We start from the raw sequence: 21,921 nt of genomic DNA, 5'->3' as shown, positions 1-21,921 counted from the left end.
GTCTTGACTTGAGAGAAAGTCGCGTCTGCGTCTGCGTCTGTGTCTGCTCCGCAGGTGCTGCTGCAGCTTCTGGGAGGTGCAAAGGGACTAGACATTTCTTCCTGGAGTCTTGAGGTGTCCAGGCCCAGAGGCAGGAGGGTGGACATGCGGGGGTTAGGGTTCCGTGCAGCACATGGGTGATGTTGCTTCTCTGGGTCCTCCCGGAGACACGCTGCTGCTACAGGGGTGGCTTCACAGCGAGGGGCTCTGGGAAAGGCAGGCTAACAAGGCCACCCCTCAGGAGAGCTGTTAGGGCCACTCCTCAAAATAACAGGCACCGAGCAAAGCAGACACCATTTGGTGTCTGGTTCCAATGGGAAGGGCAGCGGCCGCGGCCAGTGTCTTTCCAGGCCGGCATCACAGCGAGATCCTGCCCAGGCCGTGGGACACGCACGCGTCCACACCCTCCAACCACAGTCCTGCAACTTTCCAGGAACACACACAAAGCGTCCCCCACAGATGTGCGGACTTTCCCATGGGTTCTGTAAGATGTGATGTCATGGCCTCAGCCTCAGTTTCCTCACTAGTCCTCTGATCATATCCAGAATGAAATCACCCCCAATTTTAAGGTCAAATTCTATCTTTCAGGTGAGAAACAAAGCTTGCGTTAAAGGTCGAGATTTGATTGTAGGTACTGGGTTTTTAATCTTGGGTTTGGTCTGTGTTTCCTGCGGCCCGAGCATGGGTCAGTGTGTGTCTCTGAGCTGGGGAGGGTAGACTTTGTTCCCTCCCAGGCCTTGCTCCTGGGTGTTGAATGCCCAGTGCGCAGTGAGAAGGGGGTTTGAGGCCCATGCACGGGGCAGGTGTGGATTTTGCTCCAACCTCACTTCAGCACGACAAAGGGAGCAGCAGAGGGGCTGTGAAATCCATCCTGTATCTATGTGGGGCCTGTGCCCAGCCCAGCCTGTGGCTCCCGCTCTGCCCACAGCCCTGGGTCGCACCCCACAGCTGGCGGGGGGATGCCTGTCCCGTTTCCACATCTCACTCACCTGCCATGTTCACGGGCACCGGCCCAACCTTGGGGCTGCTGGTGGCCAGGACGGGATGGATGGGATATGACAAAACCCTCAGTCATCACAGACCCCTCTTAGACCCTCACAGCACTGCTGCCCCACCCCCGGGGAGTTGAAGGAAAGGGAGAAGAACGTGTGTGTAGTTAAAGATGAGGGGAGCTGCGGGGTGGGGGACAGCGTGGGAGCCGCATGTGCTGCTGTGAAGGTGTCAGGAAGGCTGCCAGAGAGCCGGACCCCAGAGGGAGTGAGACCCCCTAGGGCTGCAGGCCAGACCCCTCTCCGGCAAGGCCTGGGGGCCGGGGTGGGGCTGGGTCTCCACACCGAGGGGCAGCCGCTGGAGGGGAAGGCAGGCAGCCGGACCCCCCCCACTCCGCGGGACTCTCCGTCCTGGGCTGAGCTTCGTCCTGGGCTGGCTTTCCTCTAGTGCGACTATGAATGAAACTTCATTCCTCCATTTCCGCTGGGACAGCTGTGCTGCTGGTCCCTGAGCATGCACCAATATTCACAGGAAAAATCAACTTTTCCAACTCACTCTTTAATGTTGTTTTAGGCTAAAGTGCTCTAACAAGGGACCTGCAGCCGCCTTCTTCTACAACGTCTCACTGCATCTCCATAGTCTCCATATTCTCTGGGGACAGCCTCGCTGAAATGAGGTGGCTTCTCTGGATGTCCGTTCCCGCACGGTGTGGGTCGGGCTGCAGAGGAGGGTGGCCGGAGACCAGGCTGCAGCTGCCTCGGAGGCTGCCATCCGACCATGCGGGCACACCCTGCTCTCCCTGTCGCGTCGCTCTGAGAGCTGATGGTGGGGTATGGCTGGGGAACCTTGCGGCCCACTGGAGGGGGTTTAATTGCCGGCTTCCACATCATGCTCTTAGTTGTTACTGAGTGAGTGAGACGGCTCCAGTTTCTGCTCCCACAGGGCTCAGCATTAGGAGAGGCGACGCTCACTGGGAAACGTCTCCAAGTGCGTTTCTGTGGTGTGAGATGCAGCCGCTCATACCGGCCAGCGCTCCCCGCTCTGCGTTGCAGTAACTTTGAGCCACAGACGCTGGTGAACAGCTTTTCCTCTGCATGGGAATCCAGCCCTTCCCACACACAGCCCCGTGTTGTAAAGACCCTGGCTGTCTGCAGCAGGCCAGTGCCAGGCACAGCTGTGAGCCTTCAGGGAGCCCTCCGGAAACCCTGGCTGGACCTCTGGCCCCGCGGGCCGCACACAGACCGTTGTTGGAAGGCCTCGACTTGACTTCATCTTGGTTTCCTTCTGGTGTACACCGTCATCTCGTTTTTCTTCTCGGTGTACACCGTCATCTCAGTTTTCTTCTCTGCATATACCGGCATCTTGGTTTTCACCGGCATTGGGGCCAGATGCCCCTTCATCTCCCTGTCTCATTATTCATTCACTTGTTCACTCTGTAAACGTGTGACGAAGGTGTGGACAGGAGTGGGCTTGGCTCTAGGGGCCCAGTGATGGGTCAGGAGGTCTGGCATCCTGGTCCTTTGTCCTTGCCTTTGATATTTCTGCCCTAAGGCTGTACGATGATTTACAGTTTAGAAAAGACCACCCCATTATATTCTGTGGAAACTTCCCAGCCCCTGGGAGCTGAGCTGGGTGGATGGCGCCCATGTGAGGCAGTGCCTCGGGAAGAGCTCATGGTGCCTCCTGGGTCTGCTGCTGCCCTTGCCCTCCTGCCTCTGCTGCTGCCCTTGCCCTCCTGCCTCTGCAAGCTCGTCTCCTGCGTGGCGTCATTCTCTCCTGTCCAGGAGCCTGGTACACCCGGCGGAGGGGCCCATGGGCCGCAGCTGCCCAGTGCATGGGAAGGAGCAGCCGCCGGGCCCCTGGGTCCCCTTCATGACCCCACCTCGGTGGATGCTGGTGGCAACTGAGGAAAAGTGTTCTGAGTGTGTGAGGAGAGGTGCTGAGACTGATGTCATCAATCACACACGGAGAGCAGAGCCGTGTCGGAGCCGGGGTGAAGTCATTCCAGCTTTGTTATCCTGGGGTTCCGGCGAGCGCCGCGTGGGCAGAGCCCGTGTTTATGCTCAGGGAGGCGGCATCGCCCTGAACAGTGTCTTTTCTGTGGCTCAGGTCTGCCCTGAAAGCTGTTCCTTTTACACTCCTTCCTGTTCGTCAGGTTTTACCTCAGTGTGGAAAGAGTGACAAACAGAAAGAACAGGGGCCATAAGCACAGTTGCTGGGGGTGGCGAGGGCTGGAGCTGGGGGCGGCTGCAGGGGCGGTGAGGGCTGGAGCTGGGGGCGGCTGCAGGGGCCTGGAGGGCTGGAGCTGGGGGCGGCTGCAGGGGCGGTGAGTGCCGGTGCTGGGGGGCGGCTGCAGGGGCGGTGAGGGCCGGAGCTGGGGGCGGCTGCAGGGGCGGTGAGGGCCGGTGCTGGGGGCGGCTGCAGGGGCGGTGAGGGCCGGTGCTGGGGGCGGCTGCAGGGGCGGTGAGGGCCGGTGCTGGGGGGCGGCTGCAGGGGCGGTGAGGGCCGGTGCTGGGGGGCGGCTGCAGGGGCGGTGAGTGCGGGTGCTGGGGGCGGCTGCAGGGGCGGTGAGGGCCGGAGCTGGGGGGCGGCTGCAGGGGCGGTGAGGGCTGGAGCTGGGGGCGGCTGCAGGGGCGGTGAGGGCCGGTGCTGGGGGGCGGCTGCAGGGGCGGTGAGGGCCGGTGCTGGGGGCGGCTGCAGGGGCGGTGAGGGCCGGAGCTGGGGGCGGCTGCAGGGGCGGTGAGGGCTGGAGCTGGGGGGCGGCTGCAGGGGCGGTGAGGGCTGGAGCTGGGGGCGGCTGCAGGGGCGGTGAGGGCCGGTGCTGGGGGGCGGCTGCAGGGGCGGTGAGGGCCGGTGCTGGGGGCGGCTGCAGGGGCGGTGAGGGCCGGAGCTGGGGGCGGCTGCAGGGGCGGTGAGGGCCGGTGCTGGGGGGCGGCTGCAGGGGCGGTGAGGGCCGGAGCTGGGGGCGGCTGCAGGGGCGGTGAGGGCCGGTGCTGGGGGCGGCTGCAGGGGCGGTGAGGGCTGGAGCTGGGGGCGGCTGCAGGGGCGGTGAGGGCCGGTGCTGGGGGCGGCTGCAGGGGCGGTGAGGGCCGGTGCTGGGGGCGGCTGCAGGGGCGGTGAGGGCCGGTGCTGGGGGCGGCTGCAGGGGCGGTGAGGGCCGGTGCTGGGGGCGGCTGCAGGACGGAGACACAGCAGCCTGCAGAAGGGCGCCAGCACTCACCTTCGTGTTCCGCATGGCCAGGAAGTTCTGATTAAGACTGGATGCAGTGTAATGAATGACATGATAATGGATGATCACAGAAGCTGGTTTGTGAGGCAAACAACCACACTTATAAAATTTGGTTTCCCACGGTTCTCGCCCAGGGAGGGGAGCCCACGCCTGCCATGTAAACATCTCCCTTTCACCCCCGTGGGCACCCAGCAGCCGGGCATCAGGGCTCCAGGCAGGCGCTGCTTGCATCCGCTTGGGTGTGAGGTCCCAGGGCTTCCCAGGGCTTCACAGCGGGGGCCATTTGCAGGAACCACTCTTGGAGAACAGCCGTGTGATGTTCCGACCAGGAGGACTGCACAGCCAGGGCCATGGGAAGGGGTTCACGTTTCAGCCATGTGGGAAAATCCCAGGCCCTCAGGTTGCATTTGCAGGCTTGGCGTGAGAGCCCTCGCGACGGCTGCTCACCCTCGCTCTCCCACCCCGTGGTGCAATCTGACCTTGGTGCTCTCCCCCGGCCTCTCCTGGATTTATTCCTCATCCACGTTTTGTGACAGCAAAGCCTTTGAGGAGAAGGCCTGGGGCCGACGTGGGTTCCGTCCCAGCTCTCCCAGGAGCTGGTGCTGTCTAGGGTCAGGTGCGGGACGTCGCTAGCTGCATCTCTCATCCATAAAGTGAGGAGACCCGATCACCTGCGAGGGCCTGGCAGGAGGAGAAAACAAGCTCCTCGTGTGTCTCTGCCAGGTGCACAGTTGGCCTTCAGTCAACGTCCCCTGCTCAGCAAGTTGCTGATTATTTACAAATTTAGAATATCCAGAATTCCTGAATATTCAATATGGCATTACTCATCAGCACTGAAATTTCTAACTGAAGAAAGTCTTTTCCTGCTCCGAACTTACTTTAAAAGTCTGGTTGTACTCAAATATCATCTGCAAAGTGGTCGTGTGGCCTGGAGACCTTGCAGTCGACAGACAAAGCGGCCACAGACAGGGAGCTGAGGTCATCTGGGGCGGCCACAAGCCTCTCTCGCGGGGCCCTGTGTCCTGCGGGGACAGCGAACCACAGCGCTCCCTCAGCTCAGCCACCTAGGACCAGCCACAGTGGGGGGCCCGTGAGGAGGATGGTGCAGCTGTGGGGCCATCCTGACACCTGGCCATTCGTAGGAAGGCCGTTTGCTCTCAGGAAGTGATTAGGGGAGATCCCCGGGGCCTCCCTGAGCTCTCGGGAGTGTTTTGGGGACACAGAGCCGAGTTGCCAAGGGCGGCCCTGCTGTTGACAGGCTGCTGTCCTTCTACGTCTGGGCCTCAGAGCATCTTCCAGGGGAACTGCAGTTCTGTGTGCAGGCGCTGCCTCAGTAAGTTTCCCGCCTCGGAAAGGTCCCCGCAGCAGCTCTGGATGTTTGGGCGTTTGACCAAGGGTGAGGCCCAGGGACAGCTTGGGACACTGCGTGCATGCACAGCCAGGCTGCACCCCATTAGCAGAAGGTGTTTAACACTCGACACATAAATAATAGCGTTCACACACACATCTTATCACAATGCTTAATAGCCTTATCAAGAATCAGGAGAAAACAATGCATCCTTTTATAGCATTTTAAGTTAAAGAAACAAAAACAGTGAGAGAGGAGAAAGCTGCCCTGCCAAGAACCGTTCCTGTCTCCCTGGCCCTCAGCACTATTTATGACAGTACCCGCGGGTCGTCGCAGTTATTATTATTGTTGTAAATGCTCCTAGAAGTGGGCCGTCCCTCCCCAGCAGACAGACCTCCCTCTCAGCCGGCCTCTCCTGTTGAGCTTAATTGAATGTCCCGATGCATAGGAGGAGGGTTAATGGCATAACTCAGTCACACAATATCTTGGATTACAGACAGCCAGCAAGCAAAGGCCCGGCAGCATGGCAACGGGGCCGGCACCGTGGGAACAGGCGGGCGGACAATGATGGGATTGACAGTGTGCATGGAAAGGCCACCTTTGGGAGAAACCGTATCTCCCAGCATGCTGGGGAAAGTGAGAAATAGTGGCAGATGCTGCTGGACTGCAGCAACAGATGCTTCTGGCCGGGCCCCGCCAGCCAACCAGATCACACGTCGCTAAGTAGGGAGCACTGCTCCCCGCCCCCGCTCTTTGTCGGAGGGAGGCAGCAAATACAAATATTGCAGAGGAATTAGAAACAGCAGATGGTGGCAGCAGGGCTGGATGAGGTCAGGGTTAGGCACAGGCACATTTGGTGGTGGCATTAATCACCCCTTCCTCTGGGAGTGGAGAGCTCAGGCCTCCAGCACAGCCCGGAGCTGACCACCTCCCTGCGCTTCACTCCGCCCCTCCCCGACGCCTGCCCCGCTGCCTGCCCCCCTCTCGAAGGAGGCTGAGCCCACAGATCAGCTTTTAGATGTCTCATCCAATTTAGCAGAGTTTAAAAGAACATATGTTGAATATTTTGTTAATTCAATTTGTGTTTAAATAATTGATGTTGGCCAGTTCCAAATGTGAGATTCTAAAGGGCTCATATGCTGGTTTGATGCATTATCTATCATCCTATTGTGCGAGGTCAGTTGTTTTCATTACAAGACAAATACTCACTCTCTCTTTATTATGAGCTCAGGCGGCACCCAGTTTAGAGTGTCTGTAATCAGGAGTGTTCAGAAAGAAGTTCTTGTAAATCGCAGACTCCTCAGTGGAAGGTCAGCGGGCAGAGGAGAGACCTGATTCCCCGTGACCTCTGGGGATGGAAATTCCACTCTGGAGACTTTCTCGGGAGGACGTTCTGGTTTCACTGAAAGGAGTATGACTCTGTGAGGAGGGAGAATGTGATTTGGTGTGTGCTTGCATGTGGCGGGACTGGCGTCTGCCGTCCATATATGTGAGTGTGTCTTTGTGTTCCTGTGTGCTGACTGGAGGTGCTGTGTGTGTGTGTGTGTGTGTGTGTGTAGGTGTAGACATCCCTTAATAGCTTACCTTATGAAAAATAAAACCTGTGGGGTCGGGTGCGGTGGCTCACGCCTGTAATCCCAGCACTTTAGGAGGCCGAGGCGGGCAGATCACTAGGTCAGGAGATGGAGACCATCCTGGCTAACACGGTGAAACCCTGTCTCTACTAAAAATACAAAAATTAGCCAGGCATGGTGGTGGGCACCTGTATTCCCAGCTACTGGGCAGGCCGAGGCAGAAGAATGGCATGAACCCGGGAGGCAGAGGTTGCAGTGAGCCGAGATTGCGCCATTGCACTCCAGCCTGGGTGATAGAGCAAGACTCTGTCTCAAAAAAAAAAAAAGAGAGAGAGAGAGAAAGAAAACTTGTGTTCTAAATGCTTTCAGAAATGAATCCAAAGATTCTTTAAGGGTTATCACATTTACGGCCAACACGATAGTAGGATTTCTTACAACGTTTATGTTTTAATACCTTAAGCCACACCTGCGTCTTTTCCAAGGCTCAGAGATGGCTTCCTGACCGCACAGAGGAGTGTCTTGGGGCAGACCTGTGGGCTGTGAGGGGCTTTGCCTGTCGAGCCCTCTGTAGGCCTGGATCCTGCCTCAGGCACCCTGTACTCAAAGCGTCTCTGTTGGGGCCGTTACGGTCTGCGATGGTATAGCAAGGGGCAAGTGTGAAGAATTCCAAGTCTTTGACCTTAAATAAAATGTTTCTCTCCTTGAGGTAGAAAGAAATCTAGATGTGATTTTTATGCTTATGAACACAATTTGTTCCAATTCAAAAGTAATTGCTGCTCATTCTAGAAAATCTAGAGAAGAAAGAAGTAGAAAAATAAAATCATTTGTGTCTCGCCAGCATAGGCAGCACTGGCCATGTGGTATTCCTTCCTTTCCCACGTGTAATGTCCGCTGTCTGTGTTTAGAGTTAGGGTCACTGGTATTTCTTTTTTTCTTTTCTTTTTTTTTTTTTGAGACAGAGTTTTGCTCTTTTTGCCCAGGCTGGAGTGCAGTGGCGCGATCTCGGCTCACTGCAACCTCCGCCTCCCGGGTTCAAGCGATTCTCCTGCCTCAGCCTCCCAAGTAGCTGGGATTACAGGCACCTGCCACCATGCCCGGCTAATTTTTTTATTTATTTTTATTTTTATTTTTAGTAGAGACGGAGTTTCACCATGTTGGCCAGGATGGTCTCGACCTCCTGACCTCGTGATCTGCCCACCTCGGCCTCCCAAAGTGCTGGGGTTACAGGCGTGAGCCACCGCGCCCGGCCTGAGACCGGTATTTCTTCCTCCCTTTCCCATGCGTAACGTCCACTGTCTGTGTTTAGAGTTAGGGTCACAGCTTCACTTTAAACCTTGATTCGTTTGCTTCACATTATTATGTGTGCATGTCTCTGCCTTTGTCTTGTCTATATAATAGTCCACTGACTTGATATATTCTCTTATTTAACATTTTCTTCTTTTTAATACTTATTTGAACATTTGAAATGGTAAAAGTCTTTGCTTTCACAGACAATTCTGGGATAAACTTGCTTTAAAGATATTTTCTTTTTCTAGAGCTAAAAAAACTTATTTGGGCTAACTTTTCAGGAGTAGAATAATGGGACACATGTAGAAACAGGAAACAAGGCCAGGCACGGTGGCTCATGCCTGTAATCCCAGCACTTTCGGAGGCTGAGGCAGGTGGACTGCCTGAGCTCAGGAGTTCAAGACCAACCTTGGCAACACAGTGAAACCCCATCTCTACAAAAAACAAAAAAACTTACCTGGGCGTGACGGCACACACCTGTAATCCCAGCTACTTGGGAGGCTGAGGCAGGAGGATTGCTTGAAGGCAGAGGTTGCAGTGAGCCAAAATATCACTGCACTCCAGCCTGGGCAACAGAGCCAGACTCCATCTAAAAAAAAAAAAAAAAGAAATATGAAACAAAATAATTTCCCTTTCTTTCAGTTCATAAAGAGACATTGTAGCTAGCTGAAAGAAAGAAGAAAGAAAAAACTAACAGAGCCACTGTTAATATGTAATGTGTATCCTTAAAGTTTTCCTCCCTTTGCTTATATTACATACATCTTTCTCAAAACTGGGGTCCTTCAGTTTTGTAAGCAGCTTTCCTTTAATTGTGAGAAAAACCCACATAGCATTAAACTCACTCTCCTCAAAATTCCCATGCGCGTGGTGTGATACTGCCAGCCGCACACTCATTGCCGTGCAATGGAACTAGTTCTTTAACTACGATGTTGTGAGCATCTTCCTGTGTCATTAAATATTCTTTAAAACATGATTTTATCATGTCTAGAAAGTGTTTAATCATACAGATATTCTAAAATTTACTTAACCCCCTTTCATTGATCATGATTGTTGCATCTATTTATTACTCCTATTAAATAAAGCTGCGATGAATATGCTCGTATAAAAATGGTTCCATAAACTTCTAATTATTTCTTTAAGATCAATTTTGGGAAACAGAATTACTGGTTAAAATGCACAAACCTTTGAAAGGTTCTCAGTTATACGCTACATTGTCCTCCCAATATCTGAACGTGTGTGTGTAGTTTATGACAGTTTCTTGTGTCCTTGCTAACTCTAAATACAGATACTAAATATTATGGAATATTTATAAATGTATTTATTATAATATTTATCACATTAATAATATAGATACTAAAAAGTTTGCAAATTTGGTACCATGTACAATTTTAATTACTTGTGAATCTAACCTATAAAAATATGTTCATGGTTCACTTGCATTTCTTCTTGGTGAACTGCTTATTCTAGAACCCACTTCAGATGCTTCATACTTAGGGACGAGCTACTTCCTGAAAGCGTGGCCCCATTTTACTCTTACATGGGATCTGCGGTGGATTTGGGAAAACCAGGTTGACTTTGCCTGCGTCCCTGTGTCCCTGAGTTCAGGTAGAATTGTGCTGTTTTAACTGGGTCTGGAATCCTTCGGTCTCTTGGAAACCACAGGGCCCTTTCCCCACGGACAACAGGTTGAGTGGTGTTTTCTCTCCTCTCTGTGTATTACAGGACATGGGGGTCTGCTGGAGAGTTCTTAGGAAGGAGCTACCACTCCCCAGGCCCCTCAGCCCTTCCTAATTCTTCTGGGGCTGGAGTATCCTACTGATCAGTAGTTCAGTCATTCCAAACTAAGGTCTGGTGGGGGACCTGAGTTCTGGGTTTGGGGGACTCCACTTATGTCAAGCTCAGCAAGCATGCAGGGAACAAGGATGCTGCTTTTTGAAGAGATGTGTGTCACCCACCCCACTGACACCCGTGTGGGCTCAAGCCTGGGCACTCTTGCCATGGTTTCTGGGACAAGGCAGCAGGCAGTGATGGCCACTGGAGGCGTGGAAGCTGGAGGCGTGGCCCCTGGAGATGTGGTATTCCCAGTAGGAGGTCTCCGTGTGGGCTTTGTTGGTTTTGTGAGACTTTTAAAACTGGGCAAAATGGTGGGTGTTGGTGAGTTTTTCTAGGTAAATGGTCAGTTTCTTTCACTGGCTTGTCAAAGGAGTCCGTGGCTCTGAGACAGAGAAGTCAGAGACATTTGAGGTGGAGGCTAGCCAGCAACCAACCTAATTGCAGATGGTGGTTTGAAATTTCTTCTACGCATAATTGTTAGTGTCTACAGGATGTTCTATTGGTACAGATTCTAAGTTTATTTAACTAGCCCCCTTTTGTTGGGCATTTATGTTCTAGCTATATTTTGTTATAAATATATATTTTTATGACTGAGTTCTTGTTCTGATGCCTAGCATTTTGCAGCCTTGGTTCCTTCTGATGTCTAACAGGAGTCTTTGCAGTTGAGCCCATTGTTTATACTTCAGAGGCCTGGGAGCAGTGGCCAGTGCACGCCCCCAACACTCACTCCCAGTTTAGTTTTCAAGGCCACTCTGGGCGTCGAGGCTGATAAAACCACACAGCCATACTCACAGGCTCTCTAGAAAACACGTTTCAAGCCTCCCAAACCATTGATATTTTAGCTTAGAAGAAAGCGATGCTCTGAACTGATCACGCCGTATTAGTGGCGCTGCACCTGCCTTTCTTGTTCCTGGGGGAGTCTGGCCCCCGACATCCCTTGGAACGGTGTGCCACACAGAAGTTGACAAGGAGCTTCTCTCTTCCACTGTGGGCTGGTGCAGGCATCACCGTGAAGCAGGGGGAAGAGTCACGAGGGGCTCTGCTGGAGTCCCCCAGACATCGGGCTTTTCGCTCCATTGCTGTTGGTGGAGAGGGTCCTGTGAGCCAGGCACTGGGTCAGCCCCGGGACTCAGATAGCACGGCCTCACCCCAGGGAGAGGCTGGGGCAGAGACATGCACAATCCCCCGCAAGGATTTGGCTTTTCCAAGTGCCAAGAGGGTCAGGCTCGTGGTCACTAGAAGCTGTACTTGGGCCCTGAACCCAGTCTGACAAGGGCTGTGGCCATAGAGCACTTCCCTTGAGAAAGGAGCATTTGAGCAGACACCCGGAGAACCCACTGTGGCTGACCAGGCGGGGCCGAGGAGCAAGACCTTCCTCGGGAGAGGGGCCAGCATGTACAGAGACCCCAAGGCACCTGGCAGCCGGGGCCTGGTGTGCTGTCCATGGGTCTCTCCTGTTTGCGATGGCCGAAAAGCCACAGTCCCCCAACCTGCCTCCGGGCAGCATAGTGCTCCCTTGAGGAGGGACCCCGGGCTGACTGCATCTCCATGGAGCACGGCAGTTGCAGTCCCTTTTTGCAGCTGCTCCTGACTGAGGACTTGAGACCCTGGGATGTGGGTGTCAGGACCCTTCTGGAGCCTGGGGGCTGTTTTGTTTTTAAGAACACACAAGCGAGTTCCTGACTCCTGCCCTGAGCTCCAGCCCTGTACGAGCCCCTCCATGTGCAAATCGGCTCTGGGGCTCCAGCCTGCCCTCCTGGGCCCTTTCCATCACCCTGCACAGGCCCTTTCTGAGGAAGCTGTGGAGTTGCTGGGCTGCATTTCTCCCTGGACAGGCTCCGCCAGGAGTTACTTCTTCTGTGAGCCTCATTGGACCAGGTGCTCCTTTGCCCAGCCCAGCACCGGGCTCCTGCCCTTCTGGAAGCCTGGAGGCTGGGAGGATGGCACAGAGCACATGTGGGATCCAGTGAGAGGCACAGAGCACATGTGGGATCCAGTGACACCGTCCTTCGCAGTGAGGGAGATGCAGTCGTTTAAGAGCACAGGTGGGATCCAGCGACACTGTCCTTTGCAGTGAGGGAGACGCAGTCGTTTAACACGTGGGATCAAGCGACACTGTCCTTTGCAGTGAGGGAGACACAGTCGTTTAACACGTGGGATCCAGCGACACTGTCCTTTGCAGTGAGGGAGACGCAGTCGTTTAACACGTGGGATCCGGCGACACTGTCCTTTGCAGTGAGGGAGACGCAGTCGTTTAACACGTGGGATCAAGCGACACTGTCCTTTGCAGTGAGGGAGACGCAGTCGTTTAACACGTGGGATCAAGCGACACTGTCCTTTGCAGTGAGGGAGACGCAGTCGTTTAACACGTGGGATCAAGCGACATTGTCCTTTGCAGTGAGGGAGACGCAGTCGTTTAACACGTGGGATCCAGCGACACTGTCCTTTGCAGTGAGGGAGACACAGTTGTTTAACACGTGGGATCCGGCGACACTGTCCTTTGCAGTGAGGGAGACGCAGTTGTTTAACACGTGGGATCAAGCGACACTGTCCTTCGCAGTGAGGGAGACGCAGTCGTTTAACACGTGGGATCAAGCGACACTGTCCTTTGCAGTGAGGGAGACGCAGTCGTTTAACACGTGGGATCCAGCGACACTGTCCTTTGCAGTGAGGGAGACGCAGTCGTTTAACACGTGGGATCCGGCGACACTGTCCTTTGCAGTGAGGGAGACGCAGTCGTTTAACACGTGGGATCAAGCGACACTGTCCTTTGCAGTGAGGGAGACGCAGTCGTTTAACACGTGGGATCAAGCGACACTGTCCTTTGCAGTGAGGGAGACGCAGTCGTTTAACACGTGGGATCAAGCGACATTGTCCTTTGCAGTGAGGGAGACGCAGTCGTTTAACACGTGGGATCCGGCGACACTGTCCTTTGCAGTGAGGGAGACGCAGTTGTTTAACACGTGGGATCCGGCGACACTGTCCTTTGCAGTGAGGGAGACGCAGTCGTTTAACACGTGGGATCAAGCGACACTGTCCTTCGCAGTGAGGGAGACGCAGTCGTTTAACACGTGGGATCAAGCGACACTGTCCTTCGCAGTGAGGGAGACGCAGTCGTTTAACACGTGGGATCAAGCGACATTGTCCTTCGCAGTGAGGGAGACGCAGTCGTTTAACACGTGGGATCAAGCGACACTGTCCTTCGCAGTGAGGGAGACGCAGTCGTTTAACACGTGGGATCAAGCGACACTGTCCTTTGCAGTGAGGGAGACGCAGTCGTTTAACACGTGGGATCCAGCGACACTGTCCTTTGCAGTGAGGGAGACGCAGTCGTTTAACACGTGGGATCCAGCGACATTGTCCTTTGCAGTGAGGGAGACTCAGTCGTTTAAACGGAAACTCCCCCATGTTCACCACATCTTGCTTCCAAAGCACAGGTTCTGTGTTGAGACAGTGTTTACTCTGCAGGGAGGGGTGAATTTCTAAGGCATACAAGCTAGTTTCAGATGCTGGCCAGCTCTGCTGTTCCTGCTCAGTTGATATCTGAAAGCCACTTTCCAAATCTTCGTTCCTCTTACTTTTGGATTTGTTGTGTGTTTTCCATGTACCGTGTTGAGTAGATGGGAAAGGAGTGTGTGCACATATTTGGATCAGCAGCTCTGCACCCAGGAAGAGTGTGGGGTGCAGGCTTTCCTGTGGCCTCGAGAATCTTTGGGACGCCGGGGTCTTTGGGGGATGTGGTATTTGAGCGATGGAGCTTCTCGACACCGTGCTGGGCCTGACTGTGTCTCCCCAGCTGTCCTGGTGGCCAGTGCTTATGCTGGGCGCCCTGGGCGGCTGCTCCAACCTCTTCTGTCTTGGTTGATTTTTGGGTGAAGTAAAAAGGAACTGAAGGGTTTTCTTTCCGTCGACTCCGGCTAATGACACGTCACCTGCTCCCTTGGCTGTGGGGGAGTGGTGCAGGGGGGTTAGAGGAGGAAGGGGCCTGATCTGCTGTGTCTGCCCAGGGTCCTGGATGCTGGAGGGTGGTGGCAGGAGACAGGGAGGGGGGCAGGCTTCAGAGGGGAATGTGGAATTCAGTTTCTGGAGGAGGAACCCCCCAGCGGCCCTCCCCTGGCTCTCCATTCACAGCCACAGCCCCCCAGCCTTCCTGAGCTGGCCCTGCAGGCGCCAGGTTCCTGGTGCGGCTCTGAGTTCAGTTTATCTGGAAAGTGAGTGGCTGACCTCCGACCTGGGCCTCCATCTGGGGAGCGTGGTCACGTGGAGATGCTCTGGGGGGAAGAGTCGCTTCCCAGATGTGATTTAAGGATCATCGTGAGAAACTAACGGTGGCAAAGTGACCATTTTTCTGCGGTTGTAAACTGACAAATGGAAAACAGTCAACCATTGATTATCTATGTAAATCGTCAGGTTTTATTTCTCTGCATGCAATAGGAAGTTTCTTTGTTTTACTTTTCCCCATCAAGGAGCCAATTAAATCAGACTTCCCTGTGCAGGCAGGTCCAGCTGTCAGGGACTTGTTCCGTCAGCCCCTGTCATCTATGAATGGGAAATTAATCAGCGCCATTAGGGAGAAAACTCCCACTCGACACCACGGCCTTTCTTTCCCCTGATTGTGATTTCATACCTTTTATGTAAAGCAGACTTCAGAGCCTCCACCTATTTAAGGAATTTTTCAATTAACATTTCTTTTGCTCGAGAGAGACCAGGGCCTTTGGTTCTCCACAAAGGCTGGCTTTACTTTTCCTATCACAAATGTGCCCAGGTCAGTCCCCGCAGGCTGAGGGCCTATTATTTGGCATTGATGATTTTGTTTAACCACCCCCCCTCCCCCTAATCAATAGCTGATCAGTGCACAGCAGGGAAGTCTCTGCTTTAAATCCGCTGCTCTTCAGACTAAAATCGTCTCCTTTGAATAAAAACCTGCCTCGGTTGAATGTTAAATCCATCTAATTGGCGGCGTTTTTAAAGAAAGCACAGAAAAGAGATATAAGGAAAACCACCACAACAAAAATCTATAAAAAGCTTCTTTTACTGTTGGTGGAATCTTATGCTTATTTCCAAATATACATTTTTTATTGTCACAATTTTTTTGAATGTTTTATTAATTGATCCTTTAATGGAGTCATCATTTACTTCAAATAAAATCCTATTGTATTAAATCTTTTACAGATTTCAAAATCTTCTACTAGAGTCTAATTAAATCTTCTAGCAAAGATTTAATAAGAACAGTGTCCAGTCTGACAAGCAAAATTTAGTGGCGAATTCAACTAATTTTGCTGAAAAATTCATGGCATTACTTTACAGGAATGTCTAACAACTCCATTCTGTGCTGAGGATCTTTGGTCAGTCATGTATGTTTAAAACCACAGTCAGAACCAGCAGAACAAAGAGCAACTCAACAGGGAGACAGATGATCCTGCCACAAAGCCAGGGAGTTGAGGCAGTGGGCAGGGCGGCCACAGCCTCCCAGGCAGCCCTGCGCAGTCCTGGCGGCCAGAGACGGCCGGCAAGGAGGCTGCTGGGAATGCACAGACGCTGCTGCGCTGATTTCAGAGACCCAGAGGATGGGAGAAAAGCAGCATCTGATGTTAAAGTGGAGGCATTCCTTCCATCCTTGACTCGGTCAACTTGATTACGGAACCCTAACACAGGGTGAGCCTTCTGCCCTGGGAAGCTTGGTAAGTCCTAGTGGTCCTTTGATACGCGATTATTCTCTGCACTTGAAGTAAGTGTGCTAGACTTTTTTTGTTCCCTGAAAGGGGCTTATTTCTAAAGTAATTTTGGAGTCCACTTAATATGCAGGGTAAACAAATCTGCAATTCTTTCTTATTTCACTTTCTGTTTCTATAGTGCACGTTACTGCAATATTTGCTTTCGTAAAACTGCGATTTCAGCATGATACATTAAAAAGGAGGGCAAAGGATGCTCTTTTTGACAAAAGGAAATCCACAGAAAATCAAGAGTCATTAATAAAATAAAGGCCTTTGTGTCTTCCAGTCACAGTGTCTGCTGTGTGTTCTGTGTGGGGAGGGCTTGGGAGTCCTTCCCTGGTGTGGCATCAACCACAGGTAACATTGGCACCTTGCATTTGCCAGGCAGTGCACTGAACACCCTATGAGCTGAATCTTCACATCAGCCTGTGAGACAGGTCCTGCTGCAGAGGAGCTCGGGCTTAGAGAGAGAACACGCGAGGCCGAGTCCACAGCGGCACTTGGCAGGGTTTGGACTCAAGTCCAGACTGTCTCTCTCTGGCCTGGGCTGGTGACCCGCACTGTCTTCTCTCCTCACTCTGAGGAGAGCCTCACTCTGTGGACACCGCAGACACCTGCTCACCCTTCCGATTGGCTCTCTGTGAACATTGTAGATACTACCTATCCTTCTGATTGGCTCTCTGGATGCTGCGGTCACCTGCCCACCCTTCCAATTGGCCTTCTGTGGATGTTGTGGATGCCTGCTCACCCTTCTGATTGGCTCTCTGTGGACACTGTGGACACCTGCCCACCCTTCCGATTGGCTTTCTGTGGACTTTGTGAACACCTGCTCACTCTTTCAGTTGGCTCTCTGTGGAGATTGCAGACACCTGTCCACTCTTCCGACTGGTTCTCTGTGGACAGTGCGGACACCTGCCCACCCTTCCAATTGGCTGTCGGAAGCTCTGACTGTTCCCTCACATGAAATGATGTCATCATGGAATTGGAAAACAGCCCTGAACCCACAGATGGTGTTTTGAAAGAAACCAGGGATTGATTTTCATGTTGTATCTAAAATGCAGGCCTGGTGCAGTGGCTCACACTTGAAATCCCAGCACTTTGGGAGGCCGAGGCGGGCGGATCACTTGAGCTCAGGAGTTCAGGACCAGCCTGGACAACATGGTGAAGCCCTGTCTCTACTAAAAATGCAAAAAAATTAGCTGGACGTGGTGGGGGTGCCTGTAATCCCAGCTACTCGGGAGGCTGAGGTAAGACAATCGCTTGAGCCTGGGAGGCGGAGGTTGCACTCCAGCCTGGGTGACAGAGCGAGACTCTGTCTTAAAAACGTAAAAAAAAAGATAAAAATAAATAAAATGCAAGCCTCTCCTGGCTGATGTGCAGCTGCAGAAGCTGCGTGGCTGCTCCTGGTCGAGGTGCTCACCAGGTGAGAAGAGCCTTCCCAGCGCAGGAAGCAGAGAGGAGAAGGCTCGGACCCCAGGATGGAAAGGGCCAGAGGTGACTCTAAGTCCTCATATTTCCATTGAAGAAACTCCAAAAGGTGGCTGGATGCAAGAGCTGACTCACAGATCTGAAATGTCAGATGTATAAGTTTGGGTCAAAACTCTGAAGATGTGAGTCAGCTGTTTGGATGATAACACGGTTATTTTATAGGACAGACATTATGCCTAAACATTAGTGAAAACAGCGGGGCCTGCATGGGGCCTTCCAGCGTGGGGAGCCGCTGGTCCCACCAGCCCCTGCCCTCATCCCCCCCACCCAGGGTGGGGGTCTCTCGGGACACCGTGGGAGCTGAGACCTTGTCCTCGGACCCTCGGGCCACAGTGCAGCTCTCTGGGTGGAGGAGGCGGCAACTGACCAGGCCTTCGTTTCTCAGATTTTTTTCTGTGACAGGGACTTAATAACACCTCTTGGTGTGGCTTTCACACAAGGGTCGCAGAGCTCTCCCATTAATTAATTAGCTTGTTACCCCTTCTGAATTATTTCTGGCAGGCAGGCAGCACACAGCCTCTCACGCGCCCTGACACCGACCCCAGACTTGCTCTGGCCGTGGCGCTGTCAGTGGCGCAGGCTCTCCCCGGGCTTGGCTCACCCTTCTGTTCAGATGGGACAACCAGGCAGTCCTCCATGGGGCTGCTGTGGACTTGGTCAAGTGGGAACGTAGTTTCAGCGTTAGGAACAGCCTAAAAAGTGACCAGGTCCAACTCCCTAAGTCCGTAGACAAGGATGCTGTTTTCCAGGAACTCCCTAAGTCTGTAGACAGGGATGCTGTTTTCCAGGGCAGTCCAGCAAATTGCTGAGCTTTGTCTGGCCATTTGGTCAGGGCTGAGCTAACGCCAGTGGTGTCAGCAGCCTTCCCTGGGCCAAATCTCAGCACTCCCGACCCCACGGCATGTTCAGGCATGTCAGCGTTTGGAGCTTAAGAGCCAGAGGAATGTGATTCAAAGGAGAGAGAAATCACCAGAAAGTGACTCTTGCTGTCACTGTTCAGGAGCAAACCCTTTCTTCAGACGCACAGAACTGCATCTCACAGAGTCAAATCCTGCAAGTTACAGAGCTGGCCTGGGAGGCCACACGAGGGAGGAACAGCTGTGGCTCTTCTGGTCCATCACCCTTACCTGGAAAGGCGACCTGGGGCCCCGCACTATCTGGGGTGGGGAGGAAAAAGGGGCACGTGGAGAGAGGAGCGACGGCAAAGCCCGGCTTCGTGTAGGGCTCTGGGAGCACTGGCTTTGCAGGGCTCACACATCGTACCCAGGAGGAGAGAAGCCCAGGAGAAGCAGCCACCACAGGGGATCGAGCGGTGCTGATTGTTGTTATTTTTTAATTCCCAAGGGTCTGTCACTCACCAGAGGTGCCAACCAGCAGCCTGTTGGCCAAGTGGGAATGGACTTCTGTGCTTGTGTCCTGAACACAGTGTAGGAGACACAAAACAGCAGTTTAGCGGCTGGACGTTAGGCCTCAATAACGAGGAGAGAACTAAGATGCAATGAATAAAGATGAGTGGTGAGAGGCCCCCAGCGGCCCAGCCTCCCATCACCTGTGTCCTCTGCATCGAGCTGTGGGAGGGACTTGGCAGCAGCATTTGTGTCCTTCTGCTCTCTCTATGGCTTCCCCTTAGAAGCAAGCTCTGTCTTCAAACACGCAGGGGGCATTTCACATTGGATCCTGGGAGCCACGGCCAGGCCAGGCCTCCCCCGTGCCCGCTTCTGTGGGTGGTGTCTCTGGGTGAGTGAGTGGGATGAAGGTCTGCAGGCTCATTCTGGGTTCCAACGGGACTAAGTGATCCCAGGGAAATAGAACCTGGCGTGGCTGGAGGAACTGCCACTTTGATAAAGAAGAGACACGTCTATAATCTCATGGGACCCACATGCAACACCAGCTGCTCCCCCAGAGTCCTGCAAACACTCCAGTATTCCAGACTCCACCCTCCTTCCCTAGCCGGGCAGTGTGCTTGGACAACTGGGCAACCATGTGTCTCCCTCAAAATACTTGTCGTGTAACTCAGAGTTCATGGCCTTCATCACGAAAATGCAATGCACTTCACTCCAACCTGAATACAGTTTATTCTAGACACACAAAATGACGTGATTTCTCAGCCAGATTTGCAGGCTGACAGGGCTGCAAGGCCCCCACGCAGGTCCTGGGCTCCTCGTAGGCTGGCACACACTCCCACTGAGGGTGCCAAGTGTGCCATCTACAAATAGCTCTGAAGAAGCCGGGATTTAGTCAGTTGCCTTTTCACCCATGTGTTTCGTCTGGGTGCAAAGCCACCCGCCTGGGTCCCTCCAGCCCCTCAAGACCCACTCAGCCCACTTGGCACGTGCAGGGCCCTGTCTGGCATCAAGATATGAATCTCGGCATCGGAGCTGCCTCGTTTTCCAGGATCGGGCCAAAGCACACTCGGCGCCCACACTCGCACGCTGGCTGGCACAAAGCTGGGGGGTGCAGCGGAGCCTCGAGGGGTTGTTCTTGCGGCCATCAGGGACCACCAGCTGTAGAGCTTGAGCTACCACCTCCAGTGCCCTGGAATGCTGGCTTCCAATCAGGTGTCACTTGCCCTGCTGTCATTTGATTCCCTGCGGCTGCAAGACTTACTCGTTGTGGTGTGACTGACTTTCCACAGCCGTCTGATTGAGTCCCCGAGGCCGTGTGACTGACTCCCTATGGCTGTGTGACTGACTCTCCACGGCCGTGTGGCTCTCCGTGGCGGTGTGACTCCCTATGGCTGTGTGACTGATGCTCTGCAGCTGTGTGACTGATGCTCCGTGGCTGTGTGACTCTCCCCGGCCTTGTAACTCACTCCTCGTGGCACTGTGAGTGGCCGTGGCTCCTTTTGCTCCTGGGTGTCCCTGAGTCCCTGGGCTGATGGGGCAAAACTGCCCTGCTGGGCGGGACACCTCTCTTTCCACTATGTGGCCCCAGGGAGGGTTTTACACATCCTCCTCCTGGCTGCAGTGACCCACACCAGGGCAGGCGGAGCACAGCCAGGTTCCTGAGACCAGAGCTGCCGGCCCTCAGGGTCTGGAAGCTTCCAGAACAAACACAGCAGCAGCAACTAGGCCCATATTTTTAAGGTCTCTGTCCTATCAGGGCATTTGGCTCCTGAACAGAATTTGCTGGGAAGTGAGCAAGATAACCGGAACCCTCTTCCGTGTCCCTAGGGAAAACTCCTTCACATTCTCTCAGCGTGTTTATTTCTCCGAAGCAGAAGACCTATGTGGCGTTGCAATTCAGGCTGAGAAGCATCGAGTGCGGCGAGTGTGGGGTGGCGGTGACAATACGCCGAGCCCTGGTGCCCCGATGTCTCAGTGACAGATCCCACACTCAGGAGGCCACGGGACACGGCTGCTGGCTTCACTGCCTTTCCTGGTTCCCACTCGGCTAGAAGCAGAAATCTCCAAGAGCTATAAGGTTCCATTCTTGTGGTATTTTCAGCCTCTTCCCTGGCTATGGTAAAATTTCCAGGTTTGGGCCAAGGTCTGGGAGCCCAAAGCCATGAGTGCTGGGGAGGGCTGGACAGCTGCGTGGGATTCCACGTCCTGCCTGTCACTTCTCTGTTATCCAGCAGGGCAGGGGAGGCCTGGTTCAGAGGGAGTTAGAATAAATGTTAGGTAAGATGAACGATTTCCAAAGGATTGCGACTCACCTGACAATCCACTCACTTGCCTCCTTTCTGGGTGAGTGATCAGATACCGGCACTGCCGCGTGGCCTCCTCCATGGTTTCCCTGCCGGCCGTCTGCAGCCCGGGTGTGCCAAGGGCAAGGATAGCTGAGGGAGCAGAACATTCACCCTCGGATGGCCCTGAGCACTTCCAGGCACTTTGTGCGAGGTCTGCAGACCATGCTGGCTGGAGCGGACCCCTCGCTGTGTGGAGAAGCCGCCTCACCTCCCCGAGCCCCTGGACCAGAGAGTGTTACCAACCCCTATTCCTTCCCTGAAAAAGTGTGGCGGTGAATGTTTGTCATGGACTCTGCAACGCTCCTGGGTGCATGCATTTTCTGAATGTTTTGTTACATGTTTTTCAGGACAGTTGAGGGCTGAGGGCACATTAGCACTGACTTGCTGTGCACGGGGGTGGATGACCAGGCCTCCTGCTCTGGGGGCTCATTGGAGGGAGCTGAGGGTCTGGGGGACACCTTCAGCGTCCGCATCAGTGGCTTCCTCTGTGAGTGGCTGAGAGTGAGGTGGGAGGCTCAGCTGCAGGAGGTGTGTTATCCACCGGGACCTGATCAGCTTGAGCTCTTGGGGTTTACCCACTTACGAGAAGCAAATTTTCCCTCAACAGCTTCATTCTTACTAGCTCTGAAGTGTGTGGCAGCTTTTATCATGGAAGTCAGCGTGCTAGAAATTAACAAGAAAACGTGCCAAGAAGTGTGGTTGGTGACGAGGGGGTGAGAGCCTGGCGC

General features: G+C 53.8%; 5 annotated features.

The window, feature by feature from the left end:
• Positions 4,470-5,235: an enhancer, noted in NCBI's record as "H3K4me1 hESC enhancer chr6:170554253-170555018 (GRCh37/hg19 assembly coordinates)". NCBI's record gives its function as "activates a minimal SCP1, AML or CMV promoter by ChIP-STARR-seq in primed H9 embryonic stem cells {active_cell/tissue: H9 hESC(primed)}" and the evidence as "EXISTENCE:reporter gene assay evidence [ECO:0000049][PMID:30033119]".
• Positions 5,236-6,001: an enhancer, noted in NCBI's record as "H3K4me1 hESC enhancer chr6:170553487-170554252 (GRCh37/hg19 assembly coordinates)". NCBI's record gives its function as "activates a minimal SCP1, AML or CMV promoter by ChIP-STARR-seq in primed H9 embryonic stem cells {active_cell/tissue: H9 hESC(primed)}" and the evidence as "EXISTENCE:reporter gene assay evidence [ECO:0000049][PMID:30033119]".
• Positions 15,247-15,796: an enhancer, noted in NCBI's record as "H3K4me1 hESC enhancer chr6:170544394-170544943 (GRCh37/hg19 assembly coordinates)". NCBI's record gives its function as "activates a minimal SCP1, AML or CMV promoter by ChIP-STARR-seq in naive and primed H9 embryonic stem cells {active_cell/tissue: H9 hESC(naive and primed)}" and the evidence as "EXISTENCE:reporter gene assay evidence [ECO:0000049][PMID:30033119]".
• Positions 15,797-16,347: an enhancer, noted in NCBI's record as "H3K4me1 hESC enhancer chr6:170543843-170544393 (GRCh37/hg19 assembly coordinates)". NCBI's record gives its function as "activates a minimal SCP1, AML or CMV promoter by ChIP-STARR-seq in naive and primed H9 embryonic stem cells {active_cell/tissue: H9 hESC(naive and primed)}" and the evidence as "EXISTENCE:reporter gene assay evidence [ECO:0000049][PMID:30033119]".
• Positions 17,440-18,284: an enhancer, noted in NCBI's record as "H3K27ac-H3K4me1 hESC enhancer chr6:170541906-170542750 (GRCh37/hg19 assembly coordinates)". NCBI's record gives its function as "activates a minimal SCP1, AML or CMV promoter by ChIP-STARR-seq in naive H9 embryonic stem cells {active_cell/tissue: H9 hESC(naive)}" and the evidence as "EXISTENCE:reporter gene assay evidence [ECO:0000049][PMID:30033119]".

The sequence above is a fragment of the Homo sapiens genome, chromosome 6 (genome assembly GCF_000001405.40).
Source record: "Homo sapiens chromosome 6, GRCh38.p14 Primary Assembly".
Classification (NCBI taxonomy): Eukaryota; Metazoa; Chordata; class Mammalia; order Primates; family Hominidae; genus Homo; species Homo sapiens.
Note: the sequence above shows the minus strand (reverse complement) of the source record. Positions and strands in the feature narration are given on the sequence as shown.